General features: G+C 43.3%; 1 long non-coding RNA gene across 1 annotated transcript, besides 3 other annotated features; it reads left to right on the top strand.

The window, feature by feature from the left end:
• Positions 1–1,763: 1,763 nt before the first annotated feature.
• Positions 1,764–3,019, top strand: LINC02184 (long intergenic non-protein coding RNA 2184). The gene is made up of 2 exons (XR_110136.5): positions 1,764–2,000; positions 2,550–3,019. It is a non-coding gene; the product is annotated as a long intergenic non-protein coding RNA 2184 (long non-coding RNA).
• Positions 20,016–20,525: an enhancer, noted in NCBI's record as "OCT4-NANOG-H3K27ac hESC enhancer chr16:34195587-34196096 (GRCh37/hg19 assembly coordinates)". NCBI's record gives its function as "activates a minimal SCP1, AML or CMV promoter by ChIP-STARR-seq in naive H9 embryonic stem cells {active_cell/tissue: H9 hESC(naive)}" and the evidence as "EXISTENCE:reporter gene assay evidence [ECO:0000049][PMID:30033119]".
• Positions 21,038–21,547: an enhancer, noted in NCBI's record as "OCT4-NANOG-H3K27ac hESC enhancer chr16:34194565-34195074 (GRCh37/hg19 assembly coordinates)". NCBI's record gives its function as "activates a minimal SCP1, AML or CMV promoter by ChIP-STARR-seq in naive and primed H9 embryonic stem cells {active_cell/tissue: H9 hESC(naive and primed)}" and the evidence as "EXISTENCE:reporter gene assay evidence [ECO:0000049][PMID:30033119]".
• Positions 21,548–22,059: an enhancer, noted in NCBI's record as "OCT4-NANOG hESC enhancer chr16:34194053-34194564 (GRCh37/hg19 assembly coordinates)". NCBI's record gives its function as "activates a minimal SCP1, AML or CMV promoter by ChIP-STARR-seq in naive H9 embryonic stem cells {active_cell/tissue: H9 hESC(naive)}" and the evidence as "EXISTENCE:reporter gene assay evidence [ECO:0000049][PMID:30033119]".

Genomic DNA, 22,355 nt, shown 5'->3' with positions numbered 1-22,355 from the left:
GGAGCAGGTTATTTGATTTCCATGTGTTTGCATGGTTTGGAAGGTTCCTTTTGGAGTTGATTTCCAGTTTTATTCCACTGTGGTCTGAGAGAGTGCTTGATATAATTTCAATTTTCTTAAATTTAGTGAGGCTCATTTTATGGCCTATCATATGGTCTATCTTGGAGAAAGCTCCATGAGCTGTTGAATACAATGTGTATTCTGTGGTTGTTGGATAAAATGTTCTGTATGTATCTATTAAGTCCATTTCTTCCAAGGTGCAATTTACATCCATTGTTTCTTTGTTGACTTTCTGTCTTGATGACCTATCTAGTGCTGTCAGTGGAGTATTGACGTCCCCCACTATTATTGTGTTGCTGTCTATCTCATTTCCTAGGTCTATCAGCAATTGTTTTATAAATTTGGGAGTTCCAGTGTTAAGTGCATCTATATTTAGGATTGTGATATTTGGTTACATGAGTAAGTTCTTTGGTGTTGATTTGTGAAGGTTTGGTGCACCCATCACCTGAGTTGTATACACTGCACCATATTTGCAGTCTTTTCTCCCTCTCCTTCCTCCCTCTCTTCCCCCCAAGTCCCCAAAAAGCCCATTGTATCATTCCTACACCTTTGCATCCACATAGCTTAGCTCCCACGTATGAGTGAGAACATTTGATGTTTGGTTTCCTTTTTTGATTTACTTTACTTAGAGTAATAATCTTTCATCTCATTCAGGTCACTGCAAATGCTGTTAATTCATTCCTTTTAAGGGCTGCAAAGTATTGCATCATCTATATATTACCACAGTTTGTTTAGCCACTTGTTGATTGATGGGAATTTGGGTTGGTTCCATGACTTTGCTACTGTGAATTGTGCCACTGTAAACATGCGTGTGCAAGTATCTTTTTTGAATAATGATTTATTTTCCTCTGGGTAGATACCCAGTAGTGGGATTGTTGGGTCAAATGGTAGGTCTACTTTTAGTTCTTTAAGGAATCTCCACACTGTTTTCCATAGTGGTTGTACTAGTTTACATTCCCAGCAGCAGTTTAGAAGTGTTCCCTGTTCACCACGTCCACACCAACATCTACTGCTTTTTAATTTTTTGATTATGGCCATTGTTGCAGGAGCAAAGTGGTATCGCACTGTGGTTTTGATTTGCATTTCCCTGATCATTCGTGATGTTGAACATTTTTTCATATGTTTGCCATTTGTATATCTTATTTTAAGAATTGTCTATTCATATCCTTAGTCCACTTTTTGACAACAGTCAGCAGAGTAAACAGACAACCCACAGAATGGGAGAAAATCTTCACAATCTATACATCTGACAAAAGACTAACATCTAGGATCTACAACAAACTCAAACAAATCAGTAAGAAAAAAAATCCCATCAAAATATGATATAACCAAATACCACCTGTACCCCAATAATTTATAGAAAATTAATAAAAATAATTTTCATGTATTATTCAAGAGAAACAATCATATTAAAAATAAAATGAAGGGGCTTGTCAAGTCTGATATAAATTCATAATTACATGTATTATCCTAGACAGCTCAAGGAGGACAGGACTCCTAGGGGAATGTCTGGCTCTGGGTTGCTTGCAGCCCACTCTCCCACACCTCCCTCTACCCGCCCCCCCACCCGCTTCCCCGACCCTAGCCATTGCAGTCTTGCTGCTACTGCCAGGCCACCGCCATTTTTTAAAGAGGCCCCAGCCTGACTTACAGGAGCAGAGCTTAAGTCGGCGCAGCCAATGCGCATGCGCGAGGCCTGAGCTGATTCTTGAGTCACAGAGACTTTCACGGTCCGCCTGGTGATGGGTCCCTGAGGCGTGGCAAAGCAGGACCCCTTCGTGGCAGTGCGTCGGTGTCGCGACTCCACCCTGACGTCTCCAGGAGCTCGAGAGGGATGGTCTCCGGACGCCAGGAGTCGCGGAGGGCCGACCAGGATGAAGAAACTTCAGGCGGAGTCCCAGGAGAGCAGCGCGGGATCCCAGCCTCAGCCTGCCCAGACGGTGTGTGGGCAAGTCTCCCCGCAACTCGCGCCCCCTCTGATCTACAGGACAGGCCTGCAGTATGCCCGTGGGCTGCTCTCTTACCCGATTGTCGTTCTCGCGGAGAGCAGAACCCGGCAGCCTCAAGGGCTACCTGGGGTTGGGTGTTTCTGTGCCGCTGCTGTATGTCTGTGTGTGTGTATGTCTTTCTTTCACTCCTTCCTCTCTCTCTCCTCTCTCCCTCTGTGGCTGTGTGTGCCCATGTGCGTGTGTGTTTTGGGATGAATGTGCCCTGTGCGCTGGAGGGCTGTTTCTTGCATGTCGGTCTGTATTTGGTGAGACTCTTTCTGTGTCTCTGCCTGGGACGTCTGACCAGTTGTTGGTCTTTTTCCCGGCGGTTCCAGTTTGGGTTTGTGAAGGCCTTGGCAATGCGGGTAGCTGCGATGGACCCGCAGGGGTTGAAATCTACTCCCCATCCTGAGAGGCCTCTTTTCTAGGATCAAGACGGTCTCACCACACCCAAGGATAGTATTTAAAAAAGCATCAGCGGAGCTCATTGTTCTTCTGCAGGAGAGGTGCAGACCGACCTCCAAGAAGATGGTTCTAACTCCTCCCGCCCTCTCTTCCCATTGAGAAATGGAGCCCCACCGCGACACAGGCTTGGAGAAGAAGTCGAGAACGGGATGTGGCAAGGATCTCTGTCACTCCAACGCTGGCCTTTCTGGCCAAGTCACCCGTTTGGCACTCCTTCCCGGAAGCCCATGGCGGTGGCATTGTGCTGTATCCCGCCTGGGCTCTGACCTCTACACTGTCCTCCCTCTTGCTCTGTCTGCCATGTTTCTGACGGGCCTGGATGCTTCTTGGTCTGGCTCAGTGTCTTCCACAGAGAACACTTTTGAGTCCATCAGGGAGAAACTGTGTGGAAATCCATTTCGTGAATGTTGTCATCATAAATCATCAAAATGTCATCTGATAGAACATATTTTTCTAAGTTAATTTACTTATGAGACATTTACAAGGGTATAGAATAATGTACTCAGTGAATGTAGTCCTCTCATTTAATCTTTGATGTTTTAGATGACGATATTTCTTTTTTTGAGACAGAGTCTCACTCTGTCACCCAGGCTGGAGTGCAGGAGGGAGATCACAGCTCACTGCAGCCTCGACTTCCCAGGGTCAAGGGTCCTCCAACCTCAGTTTCCCAAGTAGCTGTGGCTACACGCATGCACCACCATATCCAGCTTTTTGTAAATTTTGTAGAGATGAGGTTTTGCTGTCTTGCCCAGGCTGGTCCCGAACTCCTGGGCTCCAGCAGTCTGCCCACCTCGGCCTCCCAAAGTGCTGGGATTACAGGCATCAGCCATCAAATCTGCCTAGGATGACTTGGTTTTCTTATTGGCATATTCTATATTCACTAAATAAAGTATCTACAGTCTCAGTCCAGGTAGGGTAAGCAAAAATAAATAAATAAATAATCTACAGTAATTTTGCATACTTATATTCTAAATTTAGGTACAAATCCATAGCTTATATGGTCTAATTTTAAAGTTTTTTAAACAATATAAGTAATGGCCATGTAAATCTTTTCATAGCTTTTTTAAATTAAAATAGATTTGAAAGTATACCTAAATCATTTTGGGTTTTTTTGTTTCTGTTTTTGTTTTTTGTTTCTAGAGTGCAGTGGCATGATCTCGGCTCACTGGAACCCTTGCCTCCCAGGTTCAAGCAATTCTCTGCTTCAGCCTCCCCAGTAGCGAGGATTACAGGTGCCCGCCACCATGCCCAGCTAATTTTTTTTTTTTTTTTGTATTTTTTAGTAGAGACGGGAGTTCACCATCTTGGCCAGGCTGGCCTTGAACTCCTGACCTCATGATCTACCTGACTCGGCCTCCCAAAGTGGTGGGACTACAGGTGTGAGCCACCGCTCCCAGCCCCTAAATCTTAAAAATATAAAGAGACATTTTTTTAAAAATCAGTTTTAAATGAGTTTAGCATTACATTTCCAGTTGTTTATATTTCAATGAGGACTGACTGAATTGTATTTTTTAAAAAAAATCTGGCCAGGCACAGTGGCTCACGCCTGTAATCCCAGCACTTTGGGAGGCCGAGGCAGGTGGATCATCTGAAGTCGGGAGTTTGAGACCAGCCTGACCAACATGGGGAAACCCCATCTCTACTAAAAATACAAAAAATTAGACGGGCATGGTGGTGCATGCCTGTAATCCCAGCTTCTCGGGAGGCTGAGGTAGGGGAATCACTTGAACCCGGGAGGTAGAGGTTGCGGTGAGCCAAGATCAAGCCATTGCACTCCAGCCTGGGCAACAAAAGCGAAACTCCATCTCAGAAAAAAACAAAAACAAAAACAACAAAATCTCCATGTAGCCTTGAATTAGTAACACATCTATCTTTTCTTTGATGTGGTGTTTACTTCTCTTCACAGAAAGTTTGCATTCTTTTCTATTAGCAGTGAAAGAGATGCTGTACATGACAGTCTCATCTTTTATTCAAATGGAAAGATTATCAAACTATTTCTCAAGACAATGCTTTTAAATATTATTTATATATTAATCTTTTAAGTAAACAATTTCTATCTTATTCCCTATATACTAGTTGTATTATACTTTATTTTTTATTTTTAAATTATATTTTTATTTGGGTCACCAGGAGAAAGATTCACTTGTGGTTCAAATCAAGTGTTCAGAATCATAACAGGACAGAAAGGTTTGATCCCGAGCAAAGCCCTCAAGGGGGAAATCAAAACAGGCTGAAATAAGACAATACCCCATATAAAGAGATGAATGAGTGGCTACACACACACACACACACACACACACACACACCCCGATGATGTGCACAGAGGCACATTTCACATGGTCATTTCTGTTTCTTTTTAAATACTGGTTTGTGGGGTGGGATTTTGATTTTTCCAGCTACAAGAAAAGGCCCAAAAGTGCATATGTGAGGGGGGAAAGGCAGAAATTCAGCAATAAAGTAGATTTCCCTGGAGGAACATGAAGGGGAGGAAACAGGAAGCAGTGTTGGGACAGTTCACTCTTCTCACCCTTGGGCTCCCTGCGTTTTATTATTGGTCCACAAAAGTTATATTCACGTTGTAGCTTCCAGGCATCTTCCTTCCTGGGAGTAGACTGGCTGAAAGACCTCTGGGAACTGTAGAGAAGACCAGAGGCCCAGGCCAGCCTTCAGGGCTCTGTGCTTTTCTAGGGATGGATGGCTCTGGTAAGGAACAAAGATGCCCAGCAGCCCTGGGCCCCTCAGCACCAGTGTGAAGGTCCCTCCTCTCTCTGGGGATGTGTAAGAAAATGGCCCCTACTTTGAGGACAGAAAGAGTAGGAGGAGGAGGCCCTGCAGCAAGATTCCATGGCTGGCTCCCCTTGTCTGGGAAGGGAAACTAAGCTGAGCTATGACAGGCTGCTTCCTGCTGCTCTGGGCCCTCCTCCCACCACTCACCATTCTCCCAAATGCAGGTCTTCTAATGGGATGTGTCCCTGACCTTTGGTCCCCAAATCCACATTGTACTTTGAGAGCAAGAGGAAACAGAATGCACCAGCACCACCCCCAAGACTCCCAAGATCACTTCCCCAAGAGATTCTCTGCCTCCCCAGCCCCCAAACTGCCCAATATAAGATACTCTACCCACTTCCACCTAAGCTGGGGCCAAAAGGAAAAGGATTGGTCAGGCAGGGGCTCCTTGCCGTTATTTAGTCATTTCCTCAACCTCTGATTTGGAGCAAATATCCCCAAATACATTAATAAACAGTTGACAAAACACTCATGATGACTAATGACTGAACAGGCCCTGTCCCTCGCCTGCGGGTTACAATTGTGCAAAGGGACAGGAGGTCAACAGGAGAGCCCGTTTGGACTCAGGGTGAAGATGGGAGGGAGACAGAAGGGTGGCAAGAAAAACCAGAGATGAATAAAGTCAGGCCAGAGTTGTCACAGCCACCAACCAGCAGAGAGAAGGAACTTGAACACAGCACCATCATTCCCCTTCACATCCTGGAGGCTGTGCTTTCAGTTTTGTAGCCCGGGGACCCTCTTTCTTGTTTCAAAGGGGCTTTATGTGAGGGGGAGACCTGCAGGGAGAGCCCCCATGGTGAGATACACACAACGTGGGTGAAACGGGGTCCTTCTGGTACCCTATTCTGCAGCCCCAGACACAGATGGGAGAAGAAAATAAGCCTGGAGTGACAGAGCCTTCCCCCAGCCCTTACCCACAGTGAGCTGCAGACTCAAGGGCGGCCCCCACCTAGGCTACACCAGCCCCTTACCTTCTGCTCTGCACACTGCAAAGGCAGATGGCTGGGCTTTCTCCACTCAGAGATTCGGGAAGGAGGAATTCATTTCAAAGACAAGGGAAGGAACTTCTCTTCCCCCAGGGCCCTCTCCTCTCACTGTGGGTTTTGAGGAAATTATCAGGGGAAGAGGGCTCTGCACAGGCCCACAAACCCCCAACTGCACACAGGCCCAGAGACACCTGCGGACATGCCGCCTGCCCCATCTCTCACACTCGCGTGTCAGACACCCGCAGACGCTCATGCTCCTGCCTCTGCACGCCAGGTCTTGGAGACATAGTGGTCCCTGCCGGCTTTGTGCATTTGCAAGTCCACTTGGCATTGAGCTGGGGAGAGGAGGCCATGGAAGGCCCATGGCATCTTCCCAGCAGGAGCAGGGAGGGGCGGCCCACCTAACGCAGATCCCTGGAGTTGGGGGAGCTGCAGGGGAGAACTCCCCGTTCTCCTCCTTCCTGCGGCTGTCCTACAATTAAGAAAGGCGAATTTGACCCAAATCGTGCTTCCTGGGGCGCCCTTTGTTCACTGCAGGCCTGCGTGGGCAAGAGGCAGAATCACTGGATGCTAGGAACGCACGGGGAGGGGAGGGAGCGTTCGCCCCGCTCCTATCGTCGCCCTGGAGGAGGGAGAAGGTGGAGAGGGAGACCCCGGTGGAACAGCAGCCCCCTCTTTGAGAAAGAGAGGCAGGGCCCCTCGCACCGGTTCCTACACAAGGCGGAGCCCCGCCCTCATCCCAGGGACAAGGAGTGGCTCCCACTGTGGGGACTGCGTGAAGCCCCTGCCTGGGGGTCCTGGAGTCTCCGCCTCCCCCAACCACGGGAGGTGCGGGTGTGTGAGAAGCTGGGCGGGAGGATGTGAGGGGAGAAGGGAGGCGTCGAGGCCGGGGCGTGTCTCCCGTTCCAGCCCCCGAGAGGCCCAGGCCCCTCCATCAGGAGAGACACCCAAGCTGTCGGCCAAGGCCAAGGAGAAGCCTCCCGGGAAGGAGCTCGGAGGCGGCAGGAGACGGCTTCCGTCGGCAAAAGCAGCCGGAGCAGGGACAGGGTCTCAGGATGTGGCAGGGTTTAAAGAACAGAGGCGCTGAGGGCCGATGGGGCGCCCGGGCTTCGAGGCCTCCACGCTCTCGGCCGCCGTCCCTGGGTCTCCCGTGCGCCCCCGGCCTGCACTTCCCGCCACGCGGATCCGCTGCTGGTCAGCCCGGTCCTGAGGGAGCGCGGTCCTGCCGGCGGCGCTGCAGTCGCGAGGGGCCGCGCTGCCTGGGGAGCGGGGCTGCGGCTCCCGGCGGCCACCCAGGCCTAGGCCCCCGGCTGCTGCGGGCTGTGGCAAGGCTGCCGCCGTCCTGGGAACCTCGGCGCTCCGGATCAGGCCCTGACCCGCCAGACCACGCGCTCTTACCCTGCTCCTCCCGGCGTCCTGGCTCCGGGCCCCTTCTTGGTTCTTCACTCTCGGGACTCCAGGCGTGTCCCCGCCGCGCCGGAGCCTCTGCCGGGTTCTCAGACGCCCGGCGCCGCTGACTGCGGAGCGCGCTGGGCTGCTGGAGGCTCCGCCAGGCCCGTTCACAGCCCCGAGGACGCCGGCTCGAGTTCCCTTCCAGTCCGCCGGCGCCTGTCCGCGCTTGCCCGACTTTGTTTATTCCACACTTAGAGTTTTAAACTTAACGAGCTTTTCAAAAAATATTCTCTCCAATTCTGTGGATTGTCTTGTAGGTTTTTTGTTTGTTTATTTTGACAGGGTCTCACCCTGTCGCCCAGGCTGCAGTGCAGTGGCGCGATCTCGGCTCACTCACTGCAACCTCCGCCTCCCAGGTTCAAGCGATTCTCCTGCCACAGCCTCCTGAGTAGCTGGGATTACAGGCACCCGCCACCACGCCTGGCTAATTATTTTTTATTTTATTTTTTGTAGGGATGGGGTCTCCTTATGTTACCCAGGCTGGTCTCAAACTCCTGGGCTCAAGCGATGCTCCCGCCTTGACCTTTCAAAGTGCTGGGGTTACAGGTGTGAGCCACTGCGCCCAGCCCCATTTCTGAAATAAAAGATCCTCTTCTCACTGAAGTTAAATCCCCCCCACACTGGAATCTATCCCTGGCTCGGAGTTGTGTTTTATTTTGAACTTATAATTAGTCATATGATTAAATATTATATCCAGTCCCTTGTCCATCATTAATGACCCGTTTTAATCCTGTGATTTGTTTATCTCCAATTTATATCTTTTCCACGGATGTGTCCCATATGCGTTTCACATTATAAGTATTTAAAAATAATTACTCTTATGTTTTCTTTCCTGTCATATATACATATATGAAAAAAAGAAATAATGCAGCAATATCTGGTGTTCCATAAGAAAATTAAACCATAAATTTTACTTCTTAGTATGTTATATAGGTTAAATAAAATACTTTAGAAAGGAATTGCTTTTGAAAAAATTTATTTTATGATCCTAAACCTTTGAAAACAGGTGTAGCACAATTATATTAATCTTGGAGAAGTGCTCAGTTAGATATATCTCTATAGACATGCGTAGATATATAGGCATCGATATAGAGAAATATCAATTTTTCTTTAGCATGAAAAGGAAAGGCATTTCAACAATGGTGAACCAGGGAAAACATATCTCATTTAAACTGCTTAGACTGATAAAAATTTAAATGAATAAATATTTAACGTGATGATGAATAAGGACAGAATTCTAATACATTCCATATTAGGATTATAAAGTGTTTTCACATTTAGGAGTTGGCAACCAGACAATATCTATTAACATTTAAAACACAGAAAAGGGGCTGTGTGCGGTGGCTCACACCTGTAATCTCAACACTTTGGGAGGCTGAGGCAGGCAGATCACGAGGTTAGAAGTTTGAGACCAACCTGGCCAGCATGGTGGAACCCTGTCTCTACTAAAAATACATTTTAAAAAAATTAGCCGGGCATGGTGGCACGTGCCTGTAATTTCAGCTACCCAGGAGGCTAAGGCAGGAGAATTTCTTGAACCCGGGAGGCGGAGGTTGCAGTAAACCGAGATTGTGCCACTGCACTCCAGCCTGGGCGACAGAGCGAGACTCTGCCTCAAATAATTAAATAAATAAATAAAATACAGAAAAGAAGCACGTAGCAATGCTAGTCCTGAGAATCTCCCCGCAGGGCCACAAATGCAGGTGAAAAGACAAGAGCACAGTGCCGGACCCCAGTGTTTCCACCAGGTGACCTGTATCTGCCAGGATTTACAGAGGTTCCCCCCTTTCATGTATGCACTTTTTGCACATTTTCTGAGATTCCAACTTTATAATAAAATCAACAGTAAAACAAATTTAATTTTGATATATCATTTTTCAAAATAAAAAGATGTTCCAAAAGAGACCTTTTTTTGTTTGTTTGTTTGAGATAAAGTCTCACTCTGTCACCCATGCTGGAGGGCAGTGGCATGATCATGGCTCACTGCAACCTATGCCCCGGGTTCAAGTAATTCTCCTGCCTCAGCCTCCCGAGTAGCTGGGATTACAGGCACCTGCCACCATGCATGGCTAATTTTTTGTATTTTTAGTAGAGATGGGGTTTATCCATGTTGGCCAGGCTGGTCTTGAACTCCTGACCTTGTGAACCGCCCACCTCCACTTCCCAAAGTACAGGCATGAGCCACCATGCCCAGCGGAGGCCCTTTCAACTCACTGTGCTGCTGAAGGGTATGCCTGAGGCTACCCAGGAGAAAAGTCATTAATAAAGGCATGGAAAGCACTACTCTGTTTTTTCAGTCTCCTGTTTATGCCACAGTGGAGAAATAACCTGAGCTGAGCCCTGCTGACTTCTTCCCCAGCAGTGAGCCTGGACCTTAAAGCAGCATTGTTCCCTCCTCTCCACCAATGACTCCCAATCTGCCAGGCTGTGTTCACTGACATCAGCTGCATCTGAGGGTCACTAAGGCCAGTGGATCTAGGGGAGCTTTCTGCTGGGCCGGAATTCCTCCACTGTCGCATGCTGGACACAGCAGTGGACACAGCAGTCAGCTCCTTCATAGTTGATTCTTATACATTAAAATAATATTGGAGATTCTGAAACACACCAAGAAATATGGGACTTAATGTAACAGTGAAACAGCAAAATAATTCACATAACTAACTTCATTTCCATTTAAGGCACCTTCTTCTTTTCCTGCACATAGGTGAGGATAATTTTACAGCACTGAGATAAAATGAAAAGCAGCAATCATATAGTTTTTGAAACTAACTCTGAGGTTAAAGGGGAAGTATATAAACAACTATGTTTTGGTGGAGATTTACAGGAACATTGTGACCTGGCCAAGGACAAGGAAGTTCCCAACCTCCTCAGACCCTCGCTGGCTCCCAGGTGTCTGTGGTCCTTAGCCCCCTCTGGATCTCAACCCCCTCCCCTTTGCCAGCCCTTTACATAAAAAGACCCTGACATTTGTACTAACTTAACCTGCTTCTTTAGAACATTAGTCCACCATCTTCTTCATTTTCTGGATCTTCAAACTAAAGTCACCTTCCTTGCCCCAACTCCTTGTCTCCTGACATATTGGCTGGTGGGCAGGAGCAGAATGAGGTCGTGTTGGACTTGGTTACATTACTTTCTCTTCACAAAAAGTTCAGATTTCCTTGTGCAGTGGAAGAACGACTGTACTTGAGCGCTTCATCTTTTCTTCTAATTGAAACACTATCAAACTACATTTCTCAAAACAATTCACTGTATCATTCATATGTTATTGTAAGTGAATAACTGATATTTTATTCTCTACATACTAATTATACTTTGAAAATATATGCACTTTATCAGTAAAGATTTTCAGTACTCTCTAGCAATATTTTTTTCTAGAGTTATATTCCCAATAGTTATGTCATAAATTAAAGCCACATTTTTTGCTTAAGTATGTATACATTAAAAAACAAAAGAAGGCTGGGCGCAGTGGCTCACGCCTGTAATTCCAGCACTTTGGGAGGCTGAGGCGGGTGGATCACTTCAGGTCAGGAGGTTGAGACCAGCCTGGCCTACATGGTGAAACCCCGTCTGTACTAAATATACAAAAGTTAGCCGGGTGTGGTGGCGCATGTCTGTAATCCCAGCTACTTGGGAGGCTGAGGCAGGAGAATCGGTTGAACCCAGGAGGCAGAGTTTGCAGTGAGCTGAGATCTTGCCACTGCACTCTAGCCTGGGCAACAGAGCAAGACTCCACTCAGTCTCAAAAAAAAAATAGCTTTTTTGAGGGGGGATAGAGTTAACTGGTATGCTTAGATAGAAATTGTTATAATTTAATATTCATATATTCATATTTTTATATAATCATGGATATTTTCTAAAAAAATTGACAAGTTCCACAGAAATTGTTTTCTTTTACTACATGAGTAATGTAGGGAGAGATTTTTGATGAGTAATAGATCCCCTGGGACAACACTGGAGAACTCCACGTTGCTACTCCTCAACCCGTCTCAAATTCATCAAAAACACTTTTTAGTGGAAAGCTAAAAAAAGCTACAGGGGGCTTCTCTCCCCCAAAATTAAGCCAGGGTTCCTATCATTCATACATTTAGTCACCAGTTATGTCTCCCCGTTAGGCAATGAGCACAAACTTGTCAGTGTCACAGTGGAAGGGAAGCAGCAAATGACACTGCAAATAACTGGAAGGGGTGGGGGAGTCACATGAGATCAACGACAGAGACAGCATCACCAGAAATGCCTTTGCATCACAGACAGAGTAATGAAGACAAAGGAAGTCCCTGTCTTCATGTGGCTGACATTTTAGGGAGAAAAGGATGAAACTCCACAGTACAATTAAATATAGAATGGAGCATATCAGGAGGTAATAAGTTTTATGGAGAAAAATAAGGGTAGATTAGCACATGTTCCCAACAAAAATGACTGAGGCGAGGGACTCCTCAGCAGAGGTTTATTGAGCCAAGGTTTGAGGCTGCACCCAGAAACTTACACAAGTCATAGGAGCATCTGTACTTTTTCAGCTGGGGATGAAATCATGGAGGTGTCTAAAACTGTCTCCGCAAAGTCAGTTCCTGGGAGGGGGTCTTAGGACCAGGTGGCATCTCTTGGTCTGCTGAAACCCTAAATCAGAAAAGTATCTCAAAGACCAGTCCTTTAGGTCTCACAACTGTGATGTTATCTATAGGCGTGGTTGGGGAAATCACAAATCTGGTGACCCCCAGTTACATGACCCTGGGGCAGGAAATAACTTATAGAAAACAAGCTAAGCAATGGCAGGCACGGTTTAACCATCCCTGTTCTTTACAAACTTCACACCCTACCATAATTCTCATCTTGTCTTGTAAATGCATCTTCGATCTCTGAATGAGGAGGAGGTCAGCTTTCTTTGCTTCAAAGTTTAACTATACAGTAAATTCTTCTCATGGTTATCTTGGCCTCCATGATAGAATAAGCAAAAAAAGATTTAACCTGTGAGGTTAGAAGCAAGATGGAGTCAGTTATGTTAGATTGATCTCATGACTTATAATTCTACAAAGATGGTTTCAACTTCCAACAGGCCTTGGCCACGGATATGTGGAATTAGACTGAAGATTTCTCCTGGGAAACGGGCAGCAGAATGGACCTTAAAGATGAATGATAAAAACTTGCACAATGGGGCCAGGTGGGGTGGCTCACGCCTGTAATCCCAGGACTTTGGGAGGCCGAGGCAAGCAGGTCACCTGAGGTCAGGAGTTCGAGACAAGTCTGGCTAACATAGCAAAACCCTGTCTCTATTAAAAATACAAAAATTAGCTGGGCATGCTGGTGCACGTCTATAATCCAAGCTACTCAGGAGGCTGAGGCAGGAGAATCACTTGAACCCGGGAGGCAGAAGTTGTAGTGAGCCAAGATTGCACCACTGCACTCCAGCCTGGGTGACAGAGAGAGACTGTCTCTCACACACACACACACACACAAAATCCTCCACAATGGGAGGGGGTTTGCCCATAACCCAGGGTTGGTAGGTTACAGCCACCCATTGCTAGGCCTTGATCCTCATTACTCCTTCTTTTGAAATATGAGCTCAAAGACACCAACATAATCTGTGTAGCAACCCCCTTCACTCAGCTATGCCCAAGGATGACATAAAGTGAGACATCAGCCTCCAAGCCAATAACTGACAAATGGTTTAGTGGGGTTTCCTTGGTTAAAAAAATAGAGACTTATGTTTGCCTCAGATGGACCAGTGTCTCAGACATGCTCCTTCAGTTTGGAAGTCACAATGTAACAGTGGATGTGTTGAAGAAGCCCTTTAATGAAAAGAAGCTCAAGGCCATGTCAAAAGCTCCAACTTCTGAAAAGCTTTCTGCATTGGAATAAACAGTTGAATCAAGTGTATTTGAATGCATCGACCTGGCCAGTGGATCCGGGGAGAAAGGCAAGGGGTTTCATTTTAAGGACCGAACTAGGCCCCTTGTCCTCAGGAAATCATACAGGCATAGCATTGAATTGATGTCTTGGGCAAAGTGGACACAGTGGCAAGATATTTGAGGCTGAGATGAGACTCATTCTGGGACTGCACTCCTATATACCCGTCTTCATGGGCCTTTCCACTGTGACTCTGCCTGAGGGCAGAAGAGATGTGGGTGTGGACATGGGGCTGGGGTGGGGCAGGGACCATGCCAGAACAATAGCTGACTGGGCTAAAGGCAGAGGAGTCCCTATTCTGGGACAATTCTGTTACCACTAAGCTACCAGTTGCTATGAGGACTTCCTTTTTCTATCTTTTTTTTTTAAAAGACCTGAGTCTGAGCTATTATGTATGTACATTTTTATAGCCGTGTTTTCACCCTGTTGCCCAGGCTGGAGTGCAGCAGCTATTCACAGGCACGATCCTTGCACACTACGGCCTCAAACTGCTGGCCTCAAGGGATTCTCCACTTCGGCCTCCCCAGTATCTGGGACTACAGGCTGGGACTACAGGTGTGTGACACCATCCCCATCCTGATCTACTGCAGATTCTCTTGATTTCTGGGTAAACAGACTGACTGCACCATCCTATCCTGTCAAATCACTTGCACAAATACTTCTACTTTAAGAGTTCTTCCACCTTGTCCAGAACCATAATCCATCAACCCCATTATTTGATCTCTCAAAAGAATAAACAAATGACACACTGACCCATCAAAACACACACGTCCTTTCCCCAAATACCAAACACAAAAAACACAGCTGGTCTTCTTCACTTCACCCACTTGAGAGAGTCACTTTCTTATGAGTACCTTTAACTCCCTGATTTACTGCTGTGCTTTTTCTGGCACAATCCCATACTTGGATGAGCCCCACACTATGTTTCTTCAATGATGTCACTCAGCTGAGCCAGATACAATGTAGAAAAGTAGCCAGGTGGTATCAACACAAATTCAAAACTAGCTACACACCAGATTGGCCATAAACACTGTCCAGAACTTACTAAGTTCACATTTGGCTGATAAAACCCTTTCCTCAGAAACCCAACATCTCTAACAATCTTCTCCATGTCCTTTGAACCTTTACTCATGTGGCTTTTACCTGGTATCTTGCCCAATAATTCATACAAAAATTAGATCCCATGAGGCAAGAACAGCCTCATCTTTCTACCATCTCTAAAGATAATATGCACAGGTCTGTAACTTTCTAGCCTTCTTTATTTCATCATGTCAGTAAAAGGATACACCATAGATAAGAGAATGAGAAGACATCCAGTCTCATTTGTAAGGTAATGTTATAATGAAATTACATTTTTCTTTTGTTTTTTTGTTTGTTGTTGTTGTTTGTTTGTTTGTTTTTTGAGGCAAAGTCTCAATCTGTCACCCAAGCTGGAGTGCAGTGGCATGATCTTGGCTCCCTGCAACCTCTACCTCCCAGGTTCAAAAGATTCTCCTGCCTCAGCCTCACAAGTAGCTGGGATTACAGGCATCCGCCACCATGCCTGGCTAATTTTTGTATTTTTAGTAAAGACGGGTTTTCACCATGTTGGTCAGGCTGGTCTTGAACTCCTGACCTCAGGTGATCCACCCACCTCAACCTCCCAAAGTGCTGGGATTACAGGTGTGAGCCACTGCGCCTGGCCCACATCTTTCTTTGTGCCGTTATTATTTCTTCATGAAATCAATGCTTCATTATGCAAACATGGTCCCATGGACTATCTTTTTTAAAAATGGCAATAATATGGCCAGTTCCTTACAAAACTAAACATGCCCTTAGCATACAATTCAGCAATTGTGCTCCTTTTTCTTTGCCCAAAATAGTTTTTTTTTTTTAACTTTTAAGTCAGGGGTATATGTGCAGGTTCCTATTACCTTGTTATATAGGTAAACTTATGTCATGGAGATTTGTTGTACAGATTATTTTATCAGCCAGGTAAAATAATCTGGGAGGCCAAGGCAAGAGGATCACTTGAGGTCAGGAGTTTGAGAGCAGCTTGGCCAACATGGTGAAACTTCTTCTCTACTAAAAATACAAAAATTAGGCTGGTGTGGTGGCACGTGCCTGTAATCCCAGCTACTCAGGAGGCTGAGGCAGGAGAATCGCTTGAACCCAGGAGGCAGAGGTTGCAGTGAGCCAATATCATGCCACTGCACTTCAGTCTGGGTGAGAGACAAATAAATAAATAAATAATAAAAATTAAAAATCTACATATTTAATTATGTAATTACTGCCATCATATCTCTCTCAGAACACTGATCCAAGAACAACAAAAATAATAAAGATGATACACTCTGCTAATTAAGCAAATTTCCTTTTTTTCTTTGTGAAACCAATTGACAAAATTCTTCAGTTTTTGGTTTTTAGGAATAATTTCCACTAATTTATTTTCAGTGGAGTTTTGCAGGTGCCCCAAACAAAAACACCAACAATGACCAATTTCATTGGGAAAGTACTAAATTTAACAAACTTTATTTTTTGATCAATGAAGACTTATTTTTAATTTTACTTAAACATTTTAGATTTAGCCTTGGATAATAAAATTAATTAATATAGGGAATGTTTACTAACATATATAAATTCACTGACACATATAAAGACTTGTTAGTTAGAATGTCAATTTAATATTGATCAAGGTTGCCTGACAAAAATAAACTTTAGGTAAACTTAAGTTTGATGCATTCTGTTTATAATCTTGTACCTCTGTTTTCATTCTGATTTGGCATGCTGCATAGCTGGGGTCTTTTTTTTAATTTCAGGTGGATTATGGCCACTCTTTTCTTCTCTTAAGTCTTAGTTGATTTTTCTTCCAGAAACAATTTTAAGATCTGCAGAGCTGCATCTGGATCAAGCAGTTGGGTTGGAGGAATATGAACCGTTAAATCACAGAAGAGCTTATTTTCAATTGTCATAGCTAACATTGAGTCTATGCCTAATTATGTAAGCAATGTGGATACTGGAATGTCTTGAGTTTTGTATTCATGAATTCTGTAGCTCATCTGTTGATACTTAAGATGAATAATGAGTAAAAACCAAGTCAAACTCTACCAGAAAATTGAATTTATCTTAGAATTCTTTGCAGAAATAAATTCTGTTAGATGGAACTTAGGAAAGTTTTCCTGTAATTTCTTGAAATAAAATTTGACAGTATATTGTAGTCTGATCATTCTGCATTCTTCATTCTGATTTTCCAGCAACTTGCTTTTAGTAAACTGCTTAGATGTTTGATTTCTCAATAAAATAATCACAACAAAATAATCTCCTTTCTTTATAATAAACATCACCATTTCAAATCCAAAGCCAGACAGCCCCCTTGACATGGCTTGTTGAGAATTATTCAGAATCAAGCATGATTCAAGATACTGATGGATGTGCGGTATTTGAAAAGTTAGTATTCCTTTGGTGGCTAAAATGCTTTGAAGATAATGTTTTTTCAGCAGTCATTCAAGACTCAAGGCTCTCCAGTTAATTGATTGTCCAGTGAGACCACAGTTCCTGTGATAGTAGCAGAACATGTCCAGCAAGGAGTTAGCAGCAGCATAGTTGGCTTGTATTGCATTTTCAATTAAAGCAGAGACTATTAAATAGCACTCAGAATTATCAAGTTTCTGCCCTCTTGTCAAAAGGTGAAAATGTACTACTCCATTTACTTTGGGGATTAACACTTTCTCCACTCAAGAAGAGATGTCGAGAGCTTCCAGGGGCCCATCGTTCAAGACTGTGGCACTAAAACAATACACCTAAGATTTTACTCTGGAAAGGTATTTACTATTAAATGCTCTGCCTTTTTCACCTCAGAATGAAAAATGATATGACACTGTAGCCTGATCACTTTGCATTCTTCACTCTGATTTTCCAGCAATTTGCATTCTTTTCAAATGCTCATAAGTTGGATATCTCAATGAAATAATCACAACAGGCCCATCTCCTTGAACAGTTTGAAGGTTGCTCAAAAAACTAAACATTGATCTGCCATATCAACCATATCATTGAACAATCTCATTTTTGGTGTATACCCAAAAGAAAGGAAATCACTTTATCAAAGAGATATCTGCACGTTTATGTTTGCTGCAGCACTGTTTATGATAACTAAGATTTGGAAGCAACCTAAGTGTCCATCAGCAGATGAATGGATAAAGAAAATGTGGTACAGATACACAATGGAGTACTATTTAGCCATAAAAAATGAAAGCCAGTCATTTGCAACAACATGAATGGAACTGAACATCATTATGTTAAGTGAAATAAACCAGGCACAGAAAAGACCAACATCACACATTCTCACTTATTTCTGGAATCTAAAAATCAAAATAATTGAACTCATGGACATAGAGAGTAGAAGAGTGTTTACCAGAGTTGGGAAGGGTAGTGAGAGGGTGGGGGGAGGTAGGAATGGTTCATGGCTACCAAAAAATAGAATGAATAAAACTTACTATTTGATAGCACAACTGGGTGAGTAGTGTCAATAATAACTTAATCATATATTTGAAAATAACATAAAGAGTGTAAGTGGATTGTTTGTAACTCAAAGAATAAATGATTGGGGGTATGGATATCCCATTCTCCATTATGTGCTTATTTCACATTGCATGCCTGTATCAAAACCTGTCATGTACCCCACCAATACTATGTATCACAAAAATTAAAAATAAAATAGAGAAAAGAACCATCTCCTTTCTGCACAATAAACATCACAGTTTGAAATCCAAGACTAGAGAGCCCCCGCTGATACAACATACACTCCATTTGCCTTGAAGAGTTTCCCCTTTGCTCTATACAAGGGTATTTGTAGAAGTCGACATTCTGGAACATTGACTTCTAACACAGCAAGTCGGATAGCCACACATGTGAGATACAATGACAGAGCAAGATTCACCAGTGCATTCTGTTGAAACAGTGAGCAAGCCAAATTCAAGTTATTTTCCAAATTCATTGATTGTATCCACTTAAAGGTCTGTGGGACACCATCAGAGTTTCTGCAAAACCTGGCTAAGACTTAGAATGTGGACTTGAAGGTGATTGTGATCATAATGTAATACTTGCTATAAAAACTCAGGTTGGTGTTGGCCACATATGACTATAACAGTCCGGTGGGGAAAGTCAAAGAGTGTTTCTTTGACAAGTTCCTCTAAAGGTGGCAGTAAACTTAATGCCTTTCAGTGTCTCCTTTTTGCCATAGACCCAGAGAGAGCGAGAAACACTTGACAACCCCAGATTACTTCCTTAGCAGCCAAGGCCAGCATTTTACCTAGAATGGATTTTGGCTGTGGGGAGAACATGGCAAGCATGCAGAGATGTTTGGCATTTGGTAATACCTGGGTGAGAGTTTTCCAAGCTCTTATGAAGTATATAATGCACAAGGCCCATTTCTAAATATTGGAAACATCTTGCTGTGAAAGCTGTGAAAGGAATCCAATGGAATCATCATCAAATGGAATCGAATGGAATCATCATAGAATGGAATCAAAAGGAATCATAGTGGAATAGAATCGAATGGAATCATTGAATGCAATGGAATGGAATCATCAACGAAAGCAATCGAAGGGAATCATCGAATGGAATCAAGTGGAATCATCAAATGGAATCCAATGAAATCATCATCGAATGGACTCAAATTGAACTATCATTGAATGTAATCGAATGGAATCATCGAATGGACTCGAATGGAATAATTGAATGGATTCCAGTGGAATCATCAAATGGAATCGAATGGAATCAACGAATCTACTCGAATGGAATCATCATCAAATGTAATTGGATGGAATCAATGAAGGGACTTGAATGGAATCTTCAAATGGACTCTAGTAGAATCATCATCGAATGGAATCGAATGTAATCGTAGAATGGACTCGAATGGAATCATCATCAAATGGAATCAAATGGAATCACTGAATGGAGTCGAATGGAATCATCATCAAATGAAATTAAGTGGAATCACCGAATGGACACGAATGGAATCATCATCAAATGGAATCAAATGGAATCATCGAATTCACTCAAATGGAATCATCGTGGAATGGAATTGAAAGCAATAATCGAATGGATTCTAATGGAATTATCGAACGGACTCAAATGGAATGATCGAATGGACTCGAATGGAATCATCGTCAAACAGACTCTAACGGAATGATTGAATGGACTCTAAAGGAATCATTTAATGGAAACGAATGGAATCTTCAATTGGACTCAAGTGGAATTATTGAATGGGCTCGAATGGAAACATCGAATGGACTCGAAAGGAATCATTATAGAATGGAATCGAATGGAATCATCAAACGGAATTGATCGCAATCATCATCGCATGGAATCAAATTGAATCATTGAATGGAATCGAATGCAGTCATCTTCGAATGGAATTGAATGGAATCATCATTGAATACAATCGAATGGAATCATTGAATGGATTCAAATGGAATCATCGAATGAAATCCAATGGAATCATCATCAAATGGAATCGAATGGAATCATTATCGAATAGAATCGAATGGAAACATTGAATGGAATCATCATCAAATGGAGGCCAGTGGAATCATCGAATTGACTCGAATGAAATCATCATTGAGTGGAATCAAATGGAATCACTGAATGGAATCGAATGGAATCATCATCGAATGGAATCTAATGGTATCATTGAATGCACTCTAATGGAATCATCAACGAATGGAATCGAATGGTATCATCAAATGGAATCGAATGGAGTCATCTTTGTGTGGAATCCACAGGAATCACCAAATGGACTCTAATGGAATAATCATCAAAGGGAATCGAGTGGAATCATTGAATGTACTCGAATGGAATCATCGAATGCAATCCAATGGAATCATATAATGGAATCGAATGGAATCGTCAATGAATGGGATCAAATGGAATCATCGAATGGACTCGAATGGAATCATCATTGAGTGGATTCGAATGGAATCATCGAATATACTCGAATAGAATCATCATTGAATGGAAAAGAATGGAATCATCAAATGGACACGAATGGAAACATCGTCGAATTGAATCATACAGAATCATCAAAAGAAATCGAATGGAATCATCATCAAATGGAATGGAATGGAATCATCAAATGGAATCAAAAGGAATCACCAACGAATTGAATCAAATGGTATCATGGAATGGAATTGAAAGGAATCATCTGCAAGTTAAATCTAAAGGAATCACCGAATGGACTCCAAAGGAATAATCATCGAATGGAATCCAGTGGAATCATCAAATGTACTTGAATGGAATCATCGAATGGACACGAATGGAATCATCATCGAATGGAATCGAATGGAATCACCATCGAATGGAATCAAAAGGAATCATTGAATGGACACGAATGGAATCTTCATTGAAAGGAATAGAATGGAATCATCATCGAATTGAATCTAATGGAATCACCATGGAATGGAATCGAATGGAATCATCGAATGGACTCGAATGGAATCACCCTCGAATGGAATCGAATGGAATCATCAAATGGACTCGAATGGAATCATCATCGAATGAAACCAAATGGAATCATCGAATGCAACACAATGGACTCATTGAGTGGATTCGAATGGAATCGTCATCGAATGGAATTGAATGGAATCATTGAAGGCACTCGAAAGGAATCATCGAATGGACTCGAAAGGAATCATCTTCAAGTGGAATTGAATGGAATCATCGAACGGACTCGAAAGGAATCTTTGAATGGACTCGAATGGAATCATTATCAAATGGAACCTAATGGAATCATCGAATGGACTCGAATGGAGCCCTCATCGATTGTAATCACAGGGAATCACTGAATGGACTCGAATGGAAACGTCAAATGGCCTCAAATTGAATCACCATTAAATGGAATCAAATGGAATTATTGAATGGACTTGAATAGAATCATCGAATGGACTCGAAAGCAATCATCATCAAGTGGAATCGAATGAAAACATCGAATGGACTTGAATGCAATCATCGAATGGCCTCGAATGAAATCATCATCGAACAGAATCGAATGGAATCATCACATGAACTCGAATGGAATCATCATCGAATGGAATGGAATGGAATCATTGAATAGAATCGAATGGAATCATCATCAAATGGAATTGAAAGGAATAATTGAATGGACTCGAATGGAATCATCGAATGGACTCAAATAGAATCATCATAGAGTGGAATCGAATAGAATCATCAAATGGACTCGAATGGAATCATCATCAAATGGAATCAAATGAAATCATCATCAGATGGAATAGAATGGAATCATCACTGAATGGAGTCAAATGGAATCACTGAAGGGAATGCGATGGAATCATCATTGAATGCAATCAAATAGAAGCATCGAATGAAATCGAATGGAATCATCATCGAACGGACTCATATGGATTCATCATCAAATGGAGTCAAATGGAATCATCGTCTAATGGAATCAAAAGGAATCATCATCGAATGGAATTGCATGGAAACATCATCGAATTGAATCAAATGGAATCATCATGGAATTGAATCAAATGGCTCATGATCAAATGGAATCAAATGGAATCATCGAATGGAATCGAATGGAATCATCATCAAATGGAATCTTCGAATGGAATCGAATGAAAATATCATCGAATGAAACCGAATGGAATCATCAAATGCAACAGAATGGAATCACTGAATGGATTCAAATGGAATCATCATCGAACGGAATTGAATGGAATCA

Source organism: Homo sapiens, chromosome 16 (genome assembly GCF_000001405.40).
Source record: "Homo sapiens chromosome 16, GRCh38.p14 Primary Assembly".
Classification (NCBI taxonomy): domain Eukaryota; kingdom Metazoa; phylum Chordata; class Mammalia; order Primates; family Hominidae; genus Homo; species Homo sapiens.
Note: the sequence above shows the minus strand (reverse complement) of the source record. Positions and strands in the feature narration are given on the sequence as shown.